At 45.4% G+C, this 20,527-nt stretch overlaps 1 protein-coding gene and 1 non-coding gene across 3 annotated transcripts in view, besides 1 other annotated feature; both read left to right on the forward strand.

Annotated features, from left to right (window-relative positions):
• The window catches only part of SLC35F3 (solute carrier family 35 member F3), a 419,836-nt gene that overhangs the window by 396,742 nt on the left and 2,567 nt on the right, over positions 1 to 20,527 (forward strand). For both annotated transcript variants that reach the window (NM_173508.4, NM_001300845.2), the window contains 4 exons: positions 7,684 to 7,903; positions 15,185 to 15,310; positions 17,334 to 17,526; positions 18,681 to 18,770. In NM_173508.4, coding sequence (NP_775779.1) covers positions 7,684 to 7,903; positions 15,185 to 15,310; positions 17,334 to 17,526; positions 18,681 to 18,770 — 629 coding nt within the window. The remainder of the gene's footprint in view (positions 1 to 7,683; positions 7,904 to 15,184; positions 15,311 to 17,333; positions 17,527 to 18,680; positions 18,771 to 20,527) is intronic.
• Positions 5,050 to 5,122, forward strand: MIR4671 (microRNA 4671). Its single transcript, NR_039818.1, has one exon. It is a non-coding gene; the product is annotated as a microRNA 4671 (primary transcript).
• Positions 12,626 to 12,920: an enhancer, noted in NCBI's record as "tiled region #10620; HepG2 Activating DNase matched - State 5:Enh". NCBI's record gives its function as "activates a minimal TATA promoter and a strong SV40 promoter by Sharpr-MPRA in HepG2 cells {active_cell/tissue: HepG2}" and the evidence as "EXISTENCE:reporter gene assay evidence [ECO:0000049][PMID:27701403]".

Below are 20,527 nucleotides of genomic sequence, written 5' to 3' on the forward strand. Positions count from 1 at the left end.
GGCCAACAAACATATGAAAAAAATGCTCAACATCACTGATCATCAGAGAAATGCAAATCAAAATCAGAATGCGATACCATCTCATGCCAGTCAGAATGGCAATTATTAAAAAGTCAGGAAACAGTAGATGCTGGTGAGGCTGTGGAGAAATAGGAACTTTTACACTTTTGGTAGGAATGTAAATTAGTTCAACTATTGTGGAATACAGTGCAGTAATTCCTCAAGGATCTAGAACCAGAAATACTATTTGACCCAGCAATCCCATTACTGAGTATATACACAAAGGAATCTAAATAATTCTACTATAAAAACACTTGCACACATATGTTTATTGCAGCACTATTTACAATAGCAAAGACATGGAACCAACCCAAATGCCCATCAATGATAGACTGGATAAAGAAAGTGCAGTACATATACACCATGGAATACTATGCAGCCATGAAAAGAAATAAGAACATGTCCTTTGCAGGAACGTGGATGAAGCTGGAAGCCATCAGCCTCAGCAAACTAACACAGGAACAGAAAACCAAACACCCCACATTCTCACTCATAAGTGGGATTTGAACATTGAGAACATGTGGACACAGAGAGGGGAACAACACACACCAGGGCCTGTTGAAGGATGAGGGATGAGGGAAGGGAACTGAGAGGACGGGTCAATAGGTGCAGCAAACCACCATGGCATGCATGTACCTATGTAACACACCTGCACATTCTGCACATGTATCCTGGGTTGTTGTTGTTGTTGTTTTTTTTAAGAAGAAATTAAAAGAAAAAAGAAGAATACCAAAGAAGGCCTACAGAGGAAGTCTAGAGGATGTGGAGAGGTCAAAGGAAACTTTGGGGACTGTGCTAAGTTGGAAGCTAAGAGGGTGTTTCAGGGAGAAACAGTCAACAATGTAGGAGGTTTCTCAGAGTAAGATGAACACCCAAAAGTGCCTTCTGGAATTGGCAATGTGAAGGTCATTCACAGTTGGTCCAGGGGTTTGAATGAGTGTGGGGAGCAGGCATCGACTAGAGTAGCTGGACAGTGAGGAAGGCAAGGTCATGGAGAACTTGAGCGTAGATGGCTATTCTGAAAAGTGTGGCTATGAAAAAGGGGAACAGAGGAAAGGGGCGGGTGAGAGGCTTGTTTTTGTACAGGGGTATGTTAAAGTTGGAAAAGCTTAGACATGTTTAAATGGTGATGAAATGGGTACGGGAAAAAGAGGAACATAAGAGTGTTCACTGAGGAATAAGCCCAGGCTGCAGGTTTGGCTCCGCTACTAACATCTGTTTGAACTTGAGTGGGTCTTTTCGTCTGTCTGGGCTGTGGCATCCTTCACTGTTAATTGCAGGGCTTCTCTCTCTCTCTGTGGTTTTCAAACTGTACCCCTCAAAGCTGTCTGAGTGCCCACATTTCAGCTTCAACCACAGAAACTTTACCTCTCTCTTATGTGTTTTTAATTAACTTAATTTTAGCAATTCAATGCATGCACATACTCTGGAAAAGCAAAATAGTAGTAAAAGAATTATGGTAAAAAGGAGCAACTTCTTCCAGCTCCACATCTGCCTACTCTCAGCCACCCTCAATTCTTGCGGATACTTTTCTCTAGTATTTATACCAATTTAGCTAAATTAAATTCTTATCTCAGTATTTCTTAAATATAGACATCCTCTGATTTCTATCTCACCCTACCCTTTCTTCCCCACCCCCAACACAATAATATCCCAATTTTTAGTTAATAGTGTTTGCATTATCATAAGCACACATATATTGTTCACTGACTCTGCCTCCTTTTGTGAAAAACCTGTCATTTCTCCTGCCAACAATATTTCCCTCTTTTGTCTCATTCATCTTGATTTCCATGTAATGATTGCTATTTTTTCCCCTAAACGTTCTGCCACCTCAAAAGCCTATCACTATTTTCCCTGTTCTTGCTTAATCACAAGACTTCCTCAGAGAATCTCCTCCAGGAGCCTTCTGCGGTTCCCGGTCTGCAGCAGAGCACCCTGTTGATGCTGGGACCCACTTTCTCTCTTGCCCGTGTGGAGCTGGCCTGCTTCCAGCTGCCACGTCTTTTTCCTCCTTGGTCTACACCCTTGCTTTGGTGCAGCCTGTCCTCCAGTGGCTTGGGAGACACCGCTGTTGAGGACTGCATAGCTGAAAATGCCTTCAATCTACCTCCACCTTTGATTGATAATTGATTGGTGATAGAATTCTGGCTGGAAAAAAAATTTTCCTTCAAAAATGTTAATGCGTTGTGCCATGATTGTCTAGCTTCCATTTTGGTTGTGGTGGTGTCTGATGAAATTACAATTTCCTATTTCTTGACCTTGTTTGTTTCATTTCTCTTGGGAGATTTTAGGTTTTCTCTTTATACCTTTATTTTACAAATAGGTGCCTTGTTGTGGTTCTTTCTTTATTCATTTTTTTGGTACTTGGTGGCCCCTTACATTATGAAGATTCATGTCTTTCAGTTCTGAGAAACTGTCTTGAATGATTTATTTTGTAATTTCCTCCACTTCATTTTTTCTGTTTGCTCCTTCTGGGGTTTTTAGTTTGATATTAGACTTTCTGGTTTAATCTCCTAATTTTATCCTTCCTTCCTTCCTTCCTTCCTTCCTTCCTTCCTTCCTTCCTTCTTTCTTTCCTTCCTTTCCTTCCTTCCTTTCTTCCTTCCTTCCTTCCTTCCTTCTTCCTCTCTCCCTCTCTCTCTCATTTTATGGGAGATTATTTTGACTTTATATTCCAACTTTTCTATTAATTATTTTTTTTTGAGACAGAGTCTTGCTCTATTACACAGGCTGGAGTGCAGTGGCATGATCTTGGCTCACTGCAACCTCCACCTCCAAGGTTTAAGCGATTCTCATGCCTCAGCCTCCCAAGTAGCTGGGACTACAGGTGTGTACCACCACACCAGATAATTTTTATATTTTTTTAGTAGAGGCAGGGTTTCACCATATTGGCCAGGCTGGTCTTGAACTCCTGACCTCAAGTGATCTGCCCGCCTTGGCATCCCAAAATGTCTATTAATTTCTAAAATGTAGTTATATATTTAATTTCCAAGATTATATCCTTTTTAATAACCATTTGTTCTTGTTTCATAGATACAATATCTTCTCTTATCTCTGCAAGGATATTATCTCTCTGCCACCCCACGCACATACCTATATAAATCCTTCCTGTCCTTTAGTCCTTCGGTTCAGCTCAAAATCCACATTTTTATGAGGACTTATCCAGTCAGCCCAACTCTCCACTGTAGCATCATTATATTCCACACCATCTATCTCCTATGTGAATATGTTAGGCTTGCATTGCCTCCTATGGAAGGATAAATGTTATCTCCCCAATTACACCTTCTCATGAGCAGGGGCTGCTCTTGAAAATTAAATGTAGGATACCAATATTTTAAAATGTAATAGAAGAGTTGGAATATAAAGTCAAGATAATCTCCCATAAAATAAGATAGAGAAAGCAAGAAGGAAAAAAGAAAATTAGAAGATCAAACCAAAAGATCCAATATCAAACTAAAAGAAGCACCAGAAAAACTGAAATAGAAAAAAACTAAATAGAAAAACTGAAGTGGAGGAAATTACAAAAGAAATAATTCATCTTAGTTTAAAAGAAAAGCTTCCTTAGCTTGAAAAGTTTACTTTTCTGTATCAGCCACAAGGCCTTGTCTAGAATTGTGGGAATGGCAAGTGCTAAACCAGTGTTTGTTGATATGAATTAAATGATAAGCCATCCTCATCCCTAAATGTGTGATATAACCAAATTTTAGAAATTCATAGAAAAGTTAGAATATGAAGTCAAGACAGGCTATCCCAGCTAGGATTCTTTAAAGAGTACTAAGAACATAAGTATGTAAGTATTTGTCAAATAATATGAGTGCAGAACTTATAGATTTTTACCATTTTTTCTTTTACCATGTTTCTTTGAATAATTCTATTGAATAATTAAATATTCAGTAGCAGTATTGCTTTTTTTTTTTTTTTTTTGAGACAGAGTCTTGCTCTGTCACCAGGCTAGAATGCAGTGGCACCACCTTGGCTCACTGCAACCTCCGCCTTCCAGGTTCAAGCGATTCCCCTCCCTCAGTCTCCCAAGTAGCTGGGACTACAGGCGCGCACCACCATGCCTGGCTAATTTTTTTGTGTTTTTAGTAGAAATGGGGTTTCACCATGTTGGTCAGGCTGGTCTCGATCTCCTGACCCTGTGATCCACCCACCTTGGCCTCCCAAAGTGCTGGGATTACAGGCGTGAGCCACCACCCCCAGCCTAGTATTGCTTATTTTTATTAAGTCTTTCTTGAAGCTCTCAATTTAGATTTCATGGAAAAAAAGTTTTCGTTTCCCACTCATATTTCATTGGTTTATGAAATACTTAATTAAACCGTGTAATTGAAATACCAAGAACAGCTAACTGGCACAAGCAGGATCAGAAGTAAATACATCTAATCTTTGTATGTGACTCAATCCATAGGAACAGAAGGACTTGAGTGTTCTGGAAGTAACCTGCCACCCTCTAGTCTTAAGCCTGCCAGCAGCATCAGTGAGCAGAAGGAATGAAGGGTGTTAGACTGTCCCGTCAGTAATGTGGGCGTCAGTCAAGAGAGTGTTGACTGTGCTCCATTTGTATACCAAGAAGAGGGAGGTCTCTGGCAGAAATGGATTCATGTTCATCATCTGTCTTGGGTTCCCTTGCAATCAAGGACGTACATGGGCCAGCCAGATCCTGAGATATTGTGCTGGGTTTTTTTGTTTGTTTGTTTTTTGAGATGGAGTTTCACTCTTGTCACTTAGGCTGGAGTGCAATGGTGCAATCTCAGCTCACTGCAACCTCCGCCTCCCGGGTTCAAGTGATTCTCCTGCCTCAGGCTCCCGAGTAGCTGGGATTACCGGTGCTCACCACCATGCCTGACTAATTTTTGAATTTTTAGTAGAGACAGGGTTTCACCATGTTGGCCAGGCTTGTCTCAAACTCCTGACCTCAGCTGACCCGCCTCGGCCTCTCAAAGTGCTAGGATTACAGGTGTGAGCCACCGCTGCCGGCCAATATTATGCTATTTTAAGACCGAAGACTGTGCGCTAATCTCTTAGCACTGAAGATTAGTGCATAGTCTTTGGTCTCAAAATATCACAAAGCTCACCAGTCCAGGGGGCCAATTGTCTTGGTCTCATTAGAACCAAGACCTACCAACCTAAGCTGTGATCTCCTGGCCATGAGGCCTTAAAGGGCCAGCAGGACTCTGCCAGGCCTCAGAGTCTCACCTTTTTCATCTCCAGGATGGGATCCCCACTCTCTCCCCATTTCCAGCAACTTGGGCCATCAATACCAAGCCATATCTGTGCCCTACCTCCCTTCTCCATCCCATCTACAATGATCAGGCTTTGGAGGAGTCAAATATGGATTTTCAAAGAGGAAGTAGGTTGCCCAGTTAGCCTTGGATGGCCCCTTCCAGAAGATGAATTGTTTTTCATGACAGTGAGCCAGGTGGAACTTGGAAATTCTGCTTGCATGATGTTCTTCTCTTAGAAAGGGAAACCTCTAAGTATAGTGGAGATAGATTGACATTAATGGCCAGAAAGAATATTTGTATTTTATTTTGGTCATACTCAATGGACCAGCATCACTTTGTAGCCACCATAATCACAAACATAAAGGAAGCCATCATTCACGGTCACTGCCCCTGGGGGAACAGACTGTTCTGCAAACAGGGGCTTGGGAAAACCCCATAGAAAATGTAGCTGGAATATTGTATGAAAATTACATGGCAAACAGAAATATCAGCCTCTCAGTTAGATGAGGGTTGCAGCTATATAAAGCCAAAATGGAATCAATTCAGTTGAATCGGTTTCATGATAAATTTAGTGAAGTGAATGTTTTACCTGGCCCCGGTTTGTTCAGAAGCAACATAGGACTCTGTGTACAGAGAGAGGTGGCCAAACTGCACCAGACTCCACAAAACGGTAAGTGTGTTTCTCCTCTCTCAATATCCCAGGCTCTCATGCCTTTCTCTAAGGAGTTTTCCTGTTCCTGCTATGGACATCCCATAGTTGAGTCATGAACAAAGACAGATTTCCTTCTAGATTGATAGGAAGACTAGACAGTAAAATTAAATTTAAAATCTTACCCAATCCCCTTTGACTCTTGTTTTTAATTTTCCTCCTTTTTCTCTGCATTTTAATATTAAGTGGCACAGACCAGAGCTATTCCCCCAACCTAGTGCATTTGGTTTATTCTAGAGATGTCTTTTCTTTTGTTCTCGTGGCAGTTCATTTGGGACTGAGTCTATTTCTAGATCACTAGCAGGCTGACTCCCTTCCTGGCTGGCAGGCCATCCCCAGCTGTGGCAGTGCAGCACCATGTCCATGAGCCTGGACAGGGACTTCCATGAAGCAGTGCCTCCTCACTTGTCCATCTCCTTGCCTAGCTCATCGGGCCCAACCCAGCAATGATCTTCACTCCCCAACAGTCAAGGAAAGAGGCAGCTGTCAACCAAGCCTTCTCAGTGGCCTTTCTCCACACCCGAGCTCCCCACGGCCTCCTCTACTTCCTTCTTCTGCATGTAGAAGACTGGCTTTAATTTTCTTAAAGATTTTTTGAACTATCTGTGATCCTTCCCCCTAGACTCTAGAACGGCATCAAAAGACTTTCTTCTACAGATGTTTCCTCATCTCATTCCCGCGTTAGACTCTGAACTTTTGGATCTGCTTATTCTTCCTGTGCTAGATAGTGTCTTAGAGAAGTGGGGCTTCCACATGGTGGAATAGGTACCCTAAAAATGGCCTCAGGGAGAAAATAGGTCACGAGTTAACACTATTTGTATCATAGCCAAAATGTATTAGATATACCCAAGAAGTGACTGCCCCTGCCTGATCACAAAGATAATTCCAACTGAGGGCAACATTTTTTAAAACTATGTTTCAATGTGTTCTCTTAGAGCAAGCTTGTCCAACCCCCGTCCCACAGGCCACATGTGGTCCAGGCTGGCTTTGAATGAGGCCCAACACAAATTTGTAAACTTTCTTAAAACATTATGAGATTTTTTTTTTTGCGATTTCTTTTTGTAGCTCATCAGCTATCGTTAGTGTTAGTGTAGTTTGTATGTGGCCTAAGACAATTCTTTTTCTAATGTGACCCAGAAAAGCCAAAAGATTAGACACCCTGTCTTCCCCAGAGTATCCATCCTCCTCCATTACCGTCCTTCTCCCACAACCCCCACCCCCAGAGTATCCATCCTCCTCCATTACCGTCCTTCTCCCACAACCCCCACCCCCAGAGTATCCATCCTCCTCCATTACCGTCCTTCTCCCACAACCCCCACCCCAAAAAAGGTTTAGTGACCCCCTTCTCTTACTCAGCAAGTGACAGAATCCCTCAGTCAATCACCATAGAATTAGGCCTTCGGGTCAGATAACACACCAACATTACCTTCTGTATAGAACCATAAATTCCAAGCTTAACATGAACAGAAGGAAGAATCTGTGACATTAGATCACTGTGCAACATTTGTTTCAGTGGACTAAAGCAATAGGTTGAAGGGCTTTAATAGAAAGATGTTTATTAAAAATAATAAATTTTAAAACCCTGCCCCTTCCTATATTTGCTTAAAAAAAAAAAAACTTGCTATAGGAAATAAATGGTCTGTCTGAACCCAGGAAAATAATAACGATGCCTCTCTTTCCTTGTTTTAGGGAATGCTGTCGATTTTTTGGAGACAATGGCTTGACTTTGAAGGTGTTTTTTACCAAGGCAGCACCCTTTGGTGTTCTTTGGACACTCACAAACTACCTGTACTTACATGCAATAAAGAAAATAAACACTACGGATGTCTCCGTGTTGTTCTGCTGCAACAAAGCTTTTGTGTTCTTGCTCTCATGGATCGTTCTCAGGGACAGATTCATGGGAGTGAGGGTAAGTTCCTTATTATCTGTCTTCCTCCCTCACTCAGTCATGTCAACCAAAACCTGCCCATCGGCTTGCTTAGCTCCATGTGCTGGACCATGAGCATAAGCTGCTGACCACTTTCCTTCTGATTTGCAGCAGAAAATGAGCCCAGCAGAGGGCCCGGTTCTTGGTGTGCCTTGCCAACCTTCTTGCTTGCAAACCATACTAGACAAGCATTCATTAAAGCACCTTTCATTTCAAGCATTTCAACAAGCATTCCCTAAAGTGTGTGCCAGTCGGGGACCCAGCCTGGGAATGGCGATGTGCTCCGCTCTCTGCGTGCTCACCCCGTCTCTCATGGGCGGCTTTCCCGGCTGTAGGGCGTGGCATGACCGTGCCCTGCAGCCTGGAGCTTTCTGCTAACACTGCCACTCTCGGGTGAGGATGTGCGTGAAACCCAAAGGATCCTTCGGCATCCATGCGTGCATGCAGTCTTGGCCCTTTGCCTGGGCCTTGTGTACACAGCCAGAGTTGGCCAGACACACTCATGCTAAGTCCCAACTGTGAAGGGCCAGCTTCACTTCCTTCTAACCAATGACGAAGGGGGAGTGAAATTATATCCCTTGAATTACCTCTCATTTTACAACCGAGACCCAGTCAATTACATTAGAAGCTAGTCAAAGTTAGCTCGTCGGATTTCATAACAACTGTATGAAATAGGACACGTGCACTATCAAATATCAGCTGAAATACAGAGAGATTCCCCCGAATAAAAGAAACAGGTGAAGTTTCAAAGCACAGGGCAGAACCCTAGAGACTTCTGACTGGCTCCCTCTTGTGGCCAGGAGCTGTCACTGCCCCGTCATCACCTTGCTACAAACCAGCGCCGAGAGCATTTAGCCAGGCCGCTAGTTCTCCTGTAGTTAGTGTACAGCTTTCCCCTTCAGCCACAAAGCTAAGAGCCGGTTTGAGGGGCAGTCCCATGAAAGTAAACCCTGCTGGCCACCAGTGCAGGGCCCTCTACTTCCGTCCTTCCCTCATTGTCCTGGGAACAATGACATCACCCTAATGGTGCATTCACACCCACCTAAGTTACCCAAACAGCAGTGGGGACGTGAGTCAACTTCTGAGTTATATTTTTAGCTCGCAGTAGGGGGAAAATTTGTTTTGAGGCTTAATGTTAATTTTGGAATAAAAACTCACTCTCTGTGCCACCAGAAAAGCTTTCAGCAAATAAATGATCTGATGCATCTCTGCAAGAAATGCAGATACTTCTCACAGTGAGCCACCCAGCAGGCTGCCTGACTCGATGCTGAAGATCTGAATGTCCTGGGCCCCCCTGCCACCCACCCATGTCCTTCCTGACTTTATTTTGATGTAAAGAGCCAGGAGAATTTATGGAAATTTTTGGCATGACTCAGATGTCCCTAGAAAATTCCAAATGAGACCCTGTTCCTGGGAAGAGAAGCTTCAAGGTTAATTCTGCATCTAGCAGAAGAAACCCATTTTTTTTGAGGTTAAGAGAAGGAGGTGTGAAAAACTTGAAAAATACTCCTAAATTCATAGAAAGCAACATGATGCTTCTAGATCTTTACTGCTATGCATGGATAAGACCCCTCCAACCCCCCACCCAAGAGTCATCCTCAGAATATGGCACATTCCGGCCATGGTGGCCACTTGATTGGTTTGGTCTGTTGCTGATCACTGTGTACTGAGCAAAGTTTTGTGTTGAAGGCCTTTGGTACTAGACTGACACTGAATGAAGATCCCAGGAGCCAGTGTCGGTGATGGCATTGATGGCATTTTGTAATTTGCAAAGCACTGTGCAGTTATGAGTCTCTCTAATAATCATTATTCCTCTCCGAAGTGCATGACCAGTCATCTAAGAGCTTCCTCCCACAGGTTGTGTTGGAACTCCCTCTTCTCTTCTTCAGGAGTTCAGAGAGCTAGCAAAATCCATCATGAGACACTGCCATGTGCCAAAGGGACTGAGAGATTCTCCTTGATAAACAGATGGAGATTTAGTTCCAAGATAATATCTAACTGGTGCATGGGACCGCTCAGACTTCACTCAGACCTGGGTTGGCTGGCACTGTCCATTAGGTAATTTCCAAAGACTGAAAAGAATTAACATAGTTCTCCATCCTGGAGGGCTGAGCATATGAGCTTGAGAGTCAAGCAGACATAAAAATCCATGTTGAAGGCACAGCCTTATGTTTGTGGAATTGGCTGCTAAGGAGACTTTTGTTATTAAGGCAATTATTCAAACCACAAGGGCCATGGTTCCTGGAAAACATCAATAGGTCGAAGTCATGTGCGCAGATCCAAAAGGAAGCAAACGTGTCTTATCATGCTGGGGAGATTCCTGGCCACGTATGGTATGAGAGGGTGAGAAGCCATTGGAGTGTCTGTTTGGAAGGAGCCAAGGTGGCTCCTTGTGTCGCCATCTGACTCTCTGCTTAGGTGTGCTTTCTGTACGTTCCCTGGTTCTCCAGGTCAGGGTTCTAGCTCAGCGATGGAGATGTCCTAGGCTAGAGTCAAGTGACGAGGTCACAGATCTTGGCTCCATTGTTATAAGCTGTTTGGACCTTGAGCAGACTAGTAAATGTCTCTGAGCCTCTGTTAAATGGAGAGAATATTACTACTCATCTTAGAAAACAGTTGTGAGAATAAGATGATGCATGCCTCACACATAAAACTCAACAAATGGTATCTTTTCTCCATGGCATTATTCTTATTATTCCTTCTCAATTGGAGGGGGTTGATGGATCAGCCCAATTCTCTTGTTGGTGGATGAACATTTAGAGAGGCAGTTTAATGTGGCAAAAGCAAGAGTAGGATGAGAGCAGGTAGAACCCTGGGCGCACACTGCCTGCTAGCTGCAGCCAGGCTGAGTGAGACCACCCCCAGCCTCCATGTCAAGGGAAATGGGAGGTGAGATTCTCCGATTGTTCAGGGCTGTTCGGGACCACCAATCACAGTGAGGGTCTTTAAACCAGGAGGGACGGGGGAAGGAGCCAGAAGGTGAGCTAAGAGGTCATCCATGGGGTCCTCAAACCCCAGCGGCACATTCCTGGGGATCATGGACCTTTTTCCAAGATCAGTTCGCATCTCAATCAGATTCCAGCTGATGTTTCCAATAATCAAAATGTTCACAGTGTTTCAAAAGGGGCCATCCATTCCCAAACAGTATCTGGTATCTGGTCCTGACTCCCTGCTGTGTGGGGGGCTGCCCTCTGCAACCTGAGCCCAGCATGGGGGAAGACACAGTGGACAGGCAATGGTGGAGCTCACAGCCCAGGCCACTTTCTACTCTCGGACATAGAAGGTGTGGACTAGAGGATCCCCCAGTTCCCTCCAAACTCCAGTAATCCTTGAGTCAATGAGAGCAGGCCAGCAGCTGGGAGGGAAAGAGTTGGGGGAAGAATGATTAAAAATCAGTCCATTTTTCCCTTTTGTAAAATTGCCTGTAGCTGTGCAAATCTAAAAAGCTTCCAAATGGGGTTCTGTTTGGCAGAGAACAGGCACCCCGCCACGTTTTGTTGTTTGTTTTTTTTAGGTTTTTTTGTTTGTTTGTTTGTTTGTTTGTTTTTGTTTTGCAGAGACAGGATCTCACTATGTCACCCAGGCTGGATTACAGTGGTGCTATCATAGCTCACTGCAGCCTCAACCTTCTGGGCTCAAGTGATCCTTTCACCTCAACCTCCTGAGTAGCTGGTAGTCAGGGGCATGCCACCACACCCAGCTAATTTTTTGCATATTTTGTAGAGACAGAGTCTCACCATGTTGCCCAGGCTGGTCTTGAACTTGTGGGCCCAAGAAATCTGCCCGCCTCAGCCTCCCAAAGCACTGGGATTACAGGTGTGAACCACCGCGCCAGGCCTTGCCACCTTCTAGCAAGACTAAGCAGGAGGAGCCCTAGTCTCAACAGTGATTAGACCTCACCTAGGGCACCACTAACCCTCCTCTCTCCTCTTTAAAGCTCAAAGGTTTCTGTTGCCTTCCCATTCAGCCCCACAGGGAGCAGGGAGCAGAACTGTCATGGAGATGAGTGGTGTGTCTGTGACTCAGGCCTGGGTGCGTGGGACTCAGATCTAGAGCTCTGGCAGCCGGGCAGGTTATGACAGTGGGTCACCATGCTGGATGAGGACAGGAAGATGCTAAGCAGTAATCCCCGGCCTGTGTTCCTTCCTTACCTCCAGCCAACTGTTCCCTAGACAAAGAAGAGGTGGTGGCTCTTACCCATCTCGGTCTTGGGCCACTGTGACCCATCAGTCTTTGTTTCAGGATTGTTCCGTGGGGAGCATTGAGGGCTGGGGGGGACAGGACAGTGTAAGGAAGGAGAGGCATGGGGAGGTCAGGGGAGCTCCGTTGTCATGATTCCACACCCACCCTTAGCACCTGTCCAGGGGCCCCAGTAGGGAGAAGATGTACATGGAGCACATGGAACCACAGGGCGGACTTGACTGGCCTTCCTAGAGAGTTTGTTTTAGTGCAGGAAATGGGCAGGAAAATATTGTCACATGAAAACCCAGAAACTCAGATGTGTCAGGGTGTCAAATGTAACATATGTGCATACTTTTTAAAAGATAGAACTGGAAACTTAACAGGAATTCCAGGCATCAGGAAGGAATCTTGAGCTCTGCTCCCAAAGGCACAGGGCACGTTCCAACCCTGCTGTGCTCCACAGGGTATTGAGAGTAAGGTAGGAACCCTAGTTCACATCCCAGCACATGGGTCCGGTCATAGCAGGGCTGCTGATGTCCAGAGAGTGGAAGGCCCACAGCCAGGGATGTCAACACTGTGCCTTGTGGGCGGGACCCCCAGGAGAAGGCTGGGAGGTGTGGAGGAGGAGATCAGAGTCCCCCGCCTGCCTGTCAGAATGAACTGATGGGGTGGCACAGGCTCCTCTGATGTTTATCTCCTCAACAGACCAAAAGGTCAATGTCCAACCGTGCTCTCATTTCCTACCCCCTTGTCCCTTCCCCCAGCTTAGCTGCACAGTGCAGCCCAGGCAGAAGCTTTTAGCTGTTTATTATTTAATCAATAGAGAACAGAGGAAGAGGTTGGAAATGTGCCCTGCAAGTCTTCAGAAAAAATCACCCCTCACTGTCCTTCATTGCCTCCAACTTCAGCCGTAAGCCTGGAAAGGTAGCTCCAGGTAGCTCAATAAAAGGTAGCTCCAGGCCGGGCACAGTGGCTCATGCCTATAATCCCAACACTTTGGAAAGCCGAGGTGTGTGGATCACCTGAGGTCAGGAGTTTGAGACCAGCCTGGCCAACATGGTGAAACCCCGTCTCTACTAAAAATATAAAATTTAGCCAGGTGTGGTGGCGGGCACCTGTAGTCACAAACTACTCAGGAGGCTGAGGCAGGAAAATCACTTGAGCCCTGGAGGCAGAGGTTGCAGTAAGCCGAGGTAGTGCCATTGCACTCCAACCTGGGCAACAAAGCAAGAATCCATCTCAAAACAAACAAACAAACAAAAAAGCTATCTCCAAAGGGGAGATGCACCAAGCATCTGGAATTGGGCCATTTTCTTCTCTCTGTTCCTTTCTCCTGTATTTTCACTGGGAGTCCTCTGATGCCTGCCCGGTTTGGCGTGTTCCTGACAGCCCCCTTGCATTACATGTGTCCTCTGGAGCAGAAACCAACCCTTTCCCCACCTGCTTTCTCACTTTTCCCTTTTTTATTTTCTTGTGGGGAAAAATTCCCTTATGGTCTTGCTATCTCTGTTTCTTCTCTTAATGAACACTTCTACACAGTACATGTAGCATTTGAATATGAGATGTAGGCATACATCTGATGCAAAACGGTGTGGCTGACTACAAGTGAATTCCCATACCAGAAAGAACACGCAGACAGATTGGGCCAGGCAGTGCTCTCTTACACGACAACCACCTGCTCTCTCAATGCCTCTGCGTTAGGGGTGGATACAGTATTATATAGAAACATAGCGTATAAGGTATAACCTAAGAGAAGTACGTAACTCAGACATACTGCATGAGATTAAGCCACATTATGTTTCACTAACCTAAACATCTTTTGTTTTAACTACTAAGGCAACCTCAATTTGAATCTAACAGTAGGTTGGCAGTACTTCCTATGTGAATCATGCATTCCTGTTTATATATGTAAGCACCAACTTTGCAATTAGGCAGACCTGAAATCTGACTGTGCTCTTCCACATACCAGCTGTGTGGGTTTGGGCAAGTTACTTAACCTCTGTGAGCCTAGGTTTTCATGTCTACAAAATGAGGTGAATGATAATATCTACTGTGAGGATAAAAGGAGAAAATACATAGAAACATATATCCTACGACCACTCAGTTAACCTTAGCTATTTGATATTGTTTTAGACAGCTGAAGTTGACTTTGAATGATTCATAAGAGGGATAAAATTCTCAGTAAATCCAGGAGTGGAAACTTCTGCACACATTTGTTCTACTGACGGCAACCCCCTCTCCACCTCCCACCTGGTGACATTTCTGCAGCTTCATGGCTACCTCAGATCAGTCCTTGTATTGATTCTCTGTGCTGGTGCATTTTCTCCTTTGAGGAATATTGTCCCAGATGGTTTATCTCCTATTTACTCTGGCAATTTCACTTTCCATGAGAGTAATATGTACATCTCCATGAAGCCTCCGTCCCATCTGAGAAGTCAGCATCAGGACAATAACAGGATTGAGGGGAGCCTTGGTGGGTAGGGTGGAGGGGCCTGTGGCCACGAAGGAAAGGAATAGCACCTCCAAGGTTAGGACATTATTTGTAGCCTTGATTGGCAGGTGACATTCTGTCAGGCCCCACTGCTGGGGTAGAAAATGGGGAAAAGATCTGCTGTCCTCCTGGTGGCTTCCCTGTTGAGATATGAAATACATAAAAGCAAGGTCACAGGAGGTACTTTCAGAAGGCTGGGGAAGAACTCAGGTCATCTCCAGGGGCTTCCCAGGGATTATCTACCAGGCTTGTCATGACCAAATAACCTGCCACTGCAACTATGACCACCTCCTTCTCAGGTCCCTAAGAATCGCAGTGACTGGCCACCACCATGCCACCCATTCCCTGCTGCCAGCAGTTTCAGTTCTTTGGTCAAGCCAAGCTTTGCTAAGTGCCCTCTCTAAGCAGCAACAAAAATTTAGACAGGAGTCAGACTTTGCCTGTTGCTCTCCCAAGGAGGAACAAAAAGGAGACACCACTTTCCCCTCACGTGGCTGAACCCCACGCACATTTCCAGCTCTTTGGCGCTTGCATACTCCCTCTGACTCCGTCCCGACTTCCCTGACCAGCATTTTCTTCCGTCTGTCCAGATTGTGGCCGCCATCCTCGCCATCGCTGGCATTGTGATGATGACCTACGCTGATGGCTTCCACAGCCACTCCGTCATCGGCATCGCACTGGTGGTGGCCTCAGCATCGATGTCTGCCCTCTACAAGGTACGCCCGGGGAGTGAACTTTCTCAGCTGGCTGGGCTCTCCTCAGCCAGCACAGCCGGCTTTAGATCGCTTGTCCTTTACTTTTCAACAGCTTCTGATGATACCTGTGCTTCAGGACAGGCAGCTCTAGATAGCTGGAGTCAACTGTGCAACAGGCAGACAGAGACTTCAGTCAAGGGCAAGGGGGAGGTGTGCCACTGCTCTTGGCTTTGGCTCTCTGGGCCTTCCTATCTGTAGCCACATCGTTGCAGCACCTGGGATAAAATGAGTGGTGCCCATCCGCACAGTCAGATTCCTGACATCATTGATGGCAGCGAACAAGTTCAGTGTTTGCTCAGATCATTTGCCACCCTATGGGGTGGGAAGACTTGAATATCTGGTGCAGCTTTGTCATGTAAATCTTTGCCCACACAGTTTTTGCAGCCACCACTGCTCGCTATGAATCCATATGCATTTCAAGTACTGCCTTGAAGGCTAAATAAATAAAAGTACAACGGCTGTAATACGGGGATAATAAAGTATTTTGATGAAATGTTGGGAACCATGGGAAAGCACTTGCCAGCTTCAGGTCTAGAGGAAACAAATTTTTATTCCCACACTCAGGTCCCTTTCTCTGTTCACCTCCTACTTTATCAAGCCCCCTGGCTGCTCTCCCCCCTCACTTCCCTTCTCCTCCTCTCTCCTTCTCCTAAGATCCATAGCAGAGAATGCAAATATTTTCAGGACTCCAAGTTGGAGAACTGACCTAGAAGATTCAATGAGAAAAGAGATTTTAGTTTTGAGACGTATCAGCCCTTTGTGGATCCAGACAATAGGACTGATATAATTAAGTACTGTAGAGAGTCAAAGAAAAGGCATTTTTTTCCCAGCTCTGTGAGTACCATGTGTTCTGGGTTTGGGAAAATGAAATAACTCAGCCTTATCCTTCATCACCTCCCTGCCCTCACCTCCCACAGAGGAAGACACACATGTCATTTTCTTTCTCTGAGCACCTCTCACTGAGGAGATGTGATAATCTAGCACCACTCTGAGACTCTAGCAACTGTCCAAATGCAGGAAATATTAGAAGGCTGCATATACTCTGCTAGACTCAAATAGCTGTGGACTAATGAGAAGCAAAAAACAGGGAGAAACACAATCCACAATGAACACAATATTCTGATTCAGATTCCAGTCTCCAACTCCTCTACCACCTGCAACTTGTCCATGGGGACTCCTAGGTGAGAGGCTGAAAGCCATTTACTACTTCCTGAAAGCCTTCCTACTTCCTGCATTTTTCAGGAAATACATGAATGAGTTGGGAAATGGCTGAACCAAGGAGAAAGCAGGAAAAGTAAGAGAGACAACAATGCAGAGACTCAAATTGGACCACAGCTCACTCAGCGCAGGAGCTGCCCTGGGGCCATCTGCATCTCTCAGTTCAGCTTCTGGCCACTCCCATCACATTCACCCTCTCCTCCCAGCCTTCCAAGCCCCTGAAATGATGTGCAAAAAAAGAACAGGTGCAAGAAAATAAAAGTTTGGTGCATTCCACTAAAACCCATGCCATTTCTGGAATGGACATGGTGGGATGGAGCAGAGATGAGCAAAATCCCTCCACCCTTGATTTACAGAACGTATCTTTGCAGCCAGAGCACTGTTTCTTGGGAGCAGTGGTGTTCAACCTGCTTATACAGGGTCCAGGATCCCTTCCAGGGGTCTCTGAGAGGATGCGTAATCATGGCAGATGTTTTTTAGTGATGTAGTGTCAGGAACACAACACAGACAAATCAAACCTAGTATGAAAACCCATGACTTCCAAAGAAGCTTTCTGTATAGCTAAAGAGCAACCCTCCACTGCCATGTTCCTGGGATTTGAATATGTGAGCAAATGAACACAGGCCAAACCCCATGGAATTCACCTGGAATCTGGTTTCCATCCTGCAGTGCAAACCCAGCGTTGTGGAGTGAACTCTGCTTTGCTTACATCATATTGGGGTCTGAGGTGAGCCTTCACCCCGTCCTCCTCTGCTTTCTCCTACAGGTTTTGTTCAAGCTCCTCCTGGGCAGTGCTAAGTTTGGAGAAGCCGCCTTATTTTTGTCCATCTTGGGTGTGTTTAACATCCTCTTCATCACCTGCATTCCTATTATCCTCTACTTTACCAAAGTGGAATACTGGAGCTCTTTTGATGACATTCCATGGGGAAACCTTTGTGGATTTTCAGTTCTTTTATTGAGTAAGTGCTAATCACCTGTCCAGAATTCCCAGAAAGCAACCACCCACAGAGGACCCTCAGGAAACATGTTCCCTGAAGGCAGAAAACAGTGCTCTTTGCTATTCTTTAGTTCTCACTGGTTTTTAAGATCTTTCTGTTTCACAAAGTAGTCTTTGAAATGATGACATTGGATTTGAATTCCAGAGCCAGAATCAGTGCAGTAGTCGCAGTGGTCACTGCTGCTCTGAATAATGAACTAATACCCCAGGGTGTTGCATGTTACCTACTAAGCACAGTACAGCAAGGAGCTGATAAATTAATACCTGCAGAGGTCTTAGAACATTGCCTGATAAGTGTCAATATTCAATAAATACTATAGATTATCATTATTATTAATATCATCATCATTGTCTCCATTACTTGATATAAGTCTAGAGCTAGGCAGGAATGCAACCAAGGACATGACTTACCCAGTTTCCATCTAAAAACACATATCCCAGCCAGGTACAGTGGCTCATGCCTGTAATCCCAGCACTTTGGGAGGCCAAGATGGGAGGATCGCTTGAGCCCAGGAGTTCGAGACCAGCCTGGGAAACATGATGAGACCTCATCTCCATAAACATTTAAAAATTAGCCAGGTGCAGTGGTGTGCACCTGCAGTCCCAGCTACTCAGGAGGCTGAAGTGGGAGGATCACTTGAGCAGAGGGATTGAGGCTGCAGTGAGCTATGATTGCACCACTGTGCACCACACTCCAGCCTGGGTGATAGTGCAAGACTGTGCCTCAAAACAAAACAAAACAAAACAAAACAAAAAAACAAAAAACAATTCCCAGAGCTCCTGTTCATGCAGTTATCCCAGAAGCATTGCCAGCAGCAGAGAAAAGCAAAATTGGTAAGATGGTCCCAGTCACCTTCTCAGTGGTTACCATTTCCAAACTTATTTCCCTTCTTCAAAACTCAGGGAACAGAGGGGCTGAGTACTCAGAGTGTCTGCTCCTGGTCCCAAGTCCTGGAGCCCCCAGAGGAACTCTGAGTTCACTGAATCAGAGCAGAGGGTCATTGTAACTCCTATGACTCCAGCCTCATCAGGAAAACCTGGGTCAGATAGGCCAGCAGGGAGGTAAAGTACACAGCAGTCATGAATAACACTCGTTGTTTACATTCTTTATTTCAGCATTCAATATTGTATTAAATTTTGGAATTGCCGTTACATATCCCACTCTGATGTCTCTTGGAATCGTCCTCAGCATACCTGTGAATGCAGGTAAACCTATGCGGCTTTCTATATCTGCACATAAGCACACACACTCAGTCACCTACTCACACACACATACACACACTCATGCATACATACACACTCACACATACACTCACATACACACACTCATGCATACACACACACACACATACTCTCACATACATACTCACATATATTATTGCTCTGCCTGCTATAGAATGCGTGTTTAACTGTCTGCCAAAAAAAAAGCATTTAGGTGAAATGTTGCTATTAGTTATATATGCAATATTTTCTCCATAATGGGCTGATTTTCACATACCACTTCAAGACACAGAAAGTCTAAAGGCATCTTGATTCTAACTGGTATGGGGAGCAGAATGAATCTCATCAGCATTATTAACAAATGTAGGAAATGATGTAGCAGAAAAAAAATGTCACTTTTGCAGGTAACTTTCTGGGGGAGAAAATTTGCTCAAGGCATGAGGTAGAAACATGCTGACAAGCTGAAGAAGCGTGAACGGCATTTTCCCTGACCTCCGGGAAGACAGGGAGAGAACGCCCTTTGCCCAGGAACTCGGGACTGCCCTTTGTTTTCCCCTGGGGACTCGTTGCCAAGGCACACAGTTGACAGCTCTTTCAGAAGCTTGTCTTCACCTGCCCCTCACTGCCTTCCTTTTCCTGGCTCGCACGGATAGGAATTTTGGATTTTCTTCCCAGAACCTCCTGGCCTCATACCTGACCTCCCTAGGCATCCTTCTCTCAGCCAGAAAAGGGCTGTGAATCTGTCCTCCCCAGAACACTCACTCCTTTGTCCCTGGCACAGCTTCCTCCAAAGCCATCTCCCAAATCCTGCCACTTCCAGGCCATTAAAAGATTGCCCCCCCCCCACCCCAAAGGAATGGCAAACCCTTATCCTGTTCAATGTGGTGGTGACTATGCCTGCAGGCACCCCAATTTCCCAAGCCTTTCCTCATGACTTGGTTTCCCACCGCTCCCATTCCAAAGGCGCTCGACCTCTCTGCCCCACCATGGCCCAGACTCCCCCAGAAGGACTGCCTCACAGCGGCGGCAGTGTACCAGGCCTGGGGGAGGTGTCAGGAGACAGGGCTCAGGCCCAGCACCACCACAACCCACCTGGAGATCTGTGGTCCCAACATATCTGCTCTCTGAGCCTTAGCTTGCCTCCCCTGCAAATGAAAAGTCATACCTACCCTTGCTACTTCGGTTGATGTGACAACCAGATGAAATAACCGATGAGACAGCATTTCAAAATGCAGAAAGCACCTGAGCTCCTGGACAGCTGGTAAAAAAGAAAAATGGTCCAGATGCTGCAGGCTTCTGAAAAATCACTTGTCACCGTCCTCCCCCTACATTCTTTGCATCTTTAGTTTGTGGTCATACCGTGTTCCTGTCTCCAGAAGGCGTGCTCCAGTTGTCTTCTATAGAAACTTCCTTTCAGCGTATAATATGGCCAGGTGTTTGAGAGATTCATTAAAATCATTTTTCATTACTTACCTGCAACATAAAAGGTTTAATGATGAGTCCAGAAAAGGAATCCCAGGCCACTCTTGATTGGAAGAGAGAAGCCGGGGACCCTGCCGCGTATCTCACTTGTCAAGGCAGAGCCATTGCCTGGCTTTTGGGTTCTCCCCGACATCTGCTCAAGGGACTGGCTGGTTGGCTCTCCTTATCTAGTGAATTAACAGGGTGTTTTACCAATATTAAAAATTAAAATACAGGCCAGGCACGGGAGCTCACGCCTGTAATCCCAGCACTTTGGGAGG

This window comes from Homo sapiens, chromosome 1 (assembly GCF_000001405.40).
Source record: "Homo sapiens chromosome 1, GRCh38.p14 Primary Assembly".
Classification (NCBI taxonomy): domain Eukaryota; kingdom Metazoa; phylum Chordata; class Mammalia; order Primates; family Hominidae; genus Homo; species Homo sapiens.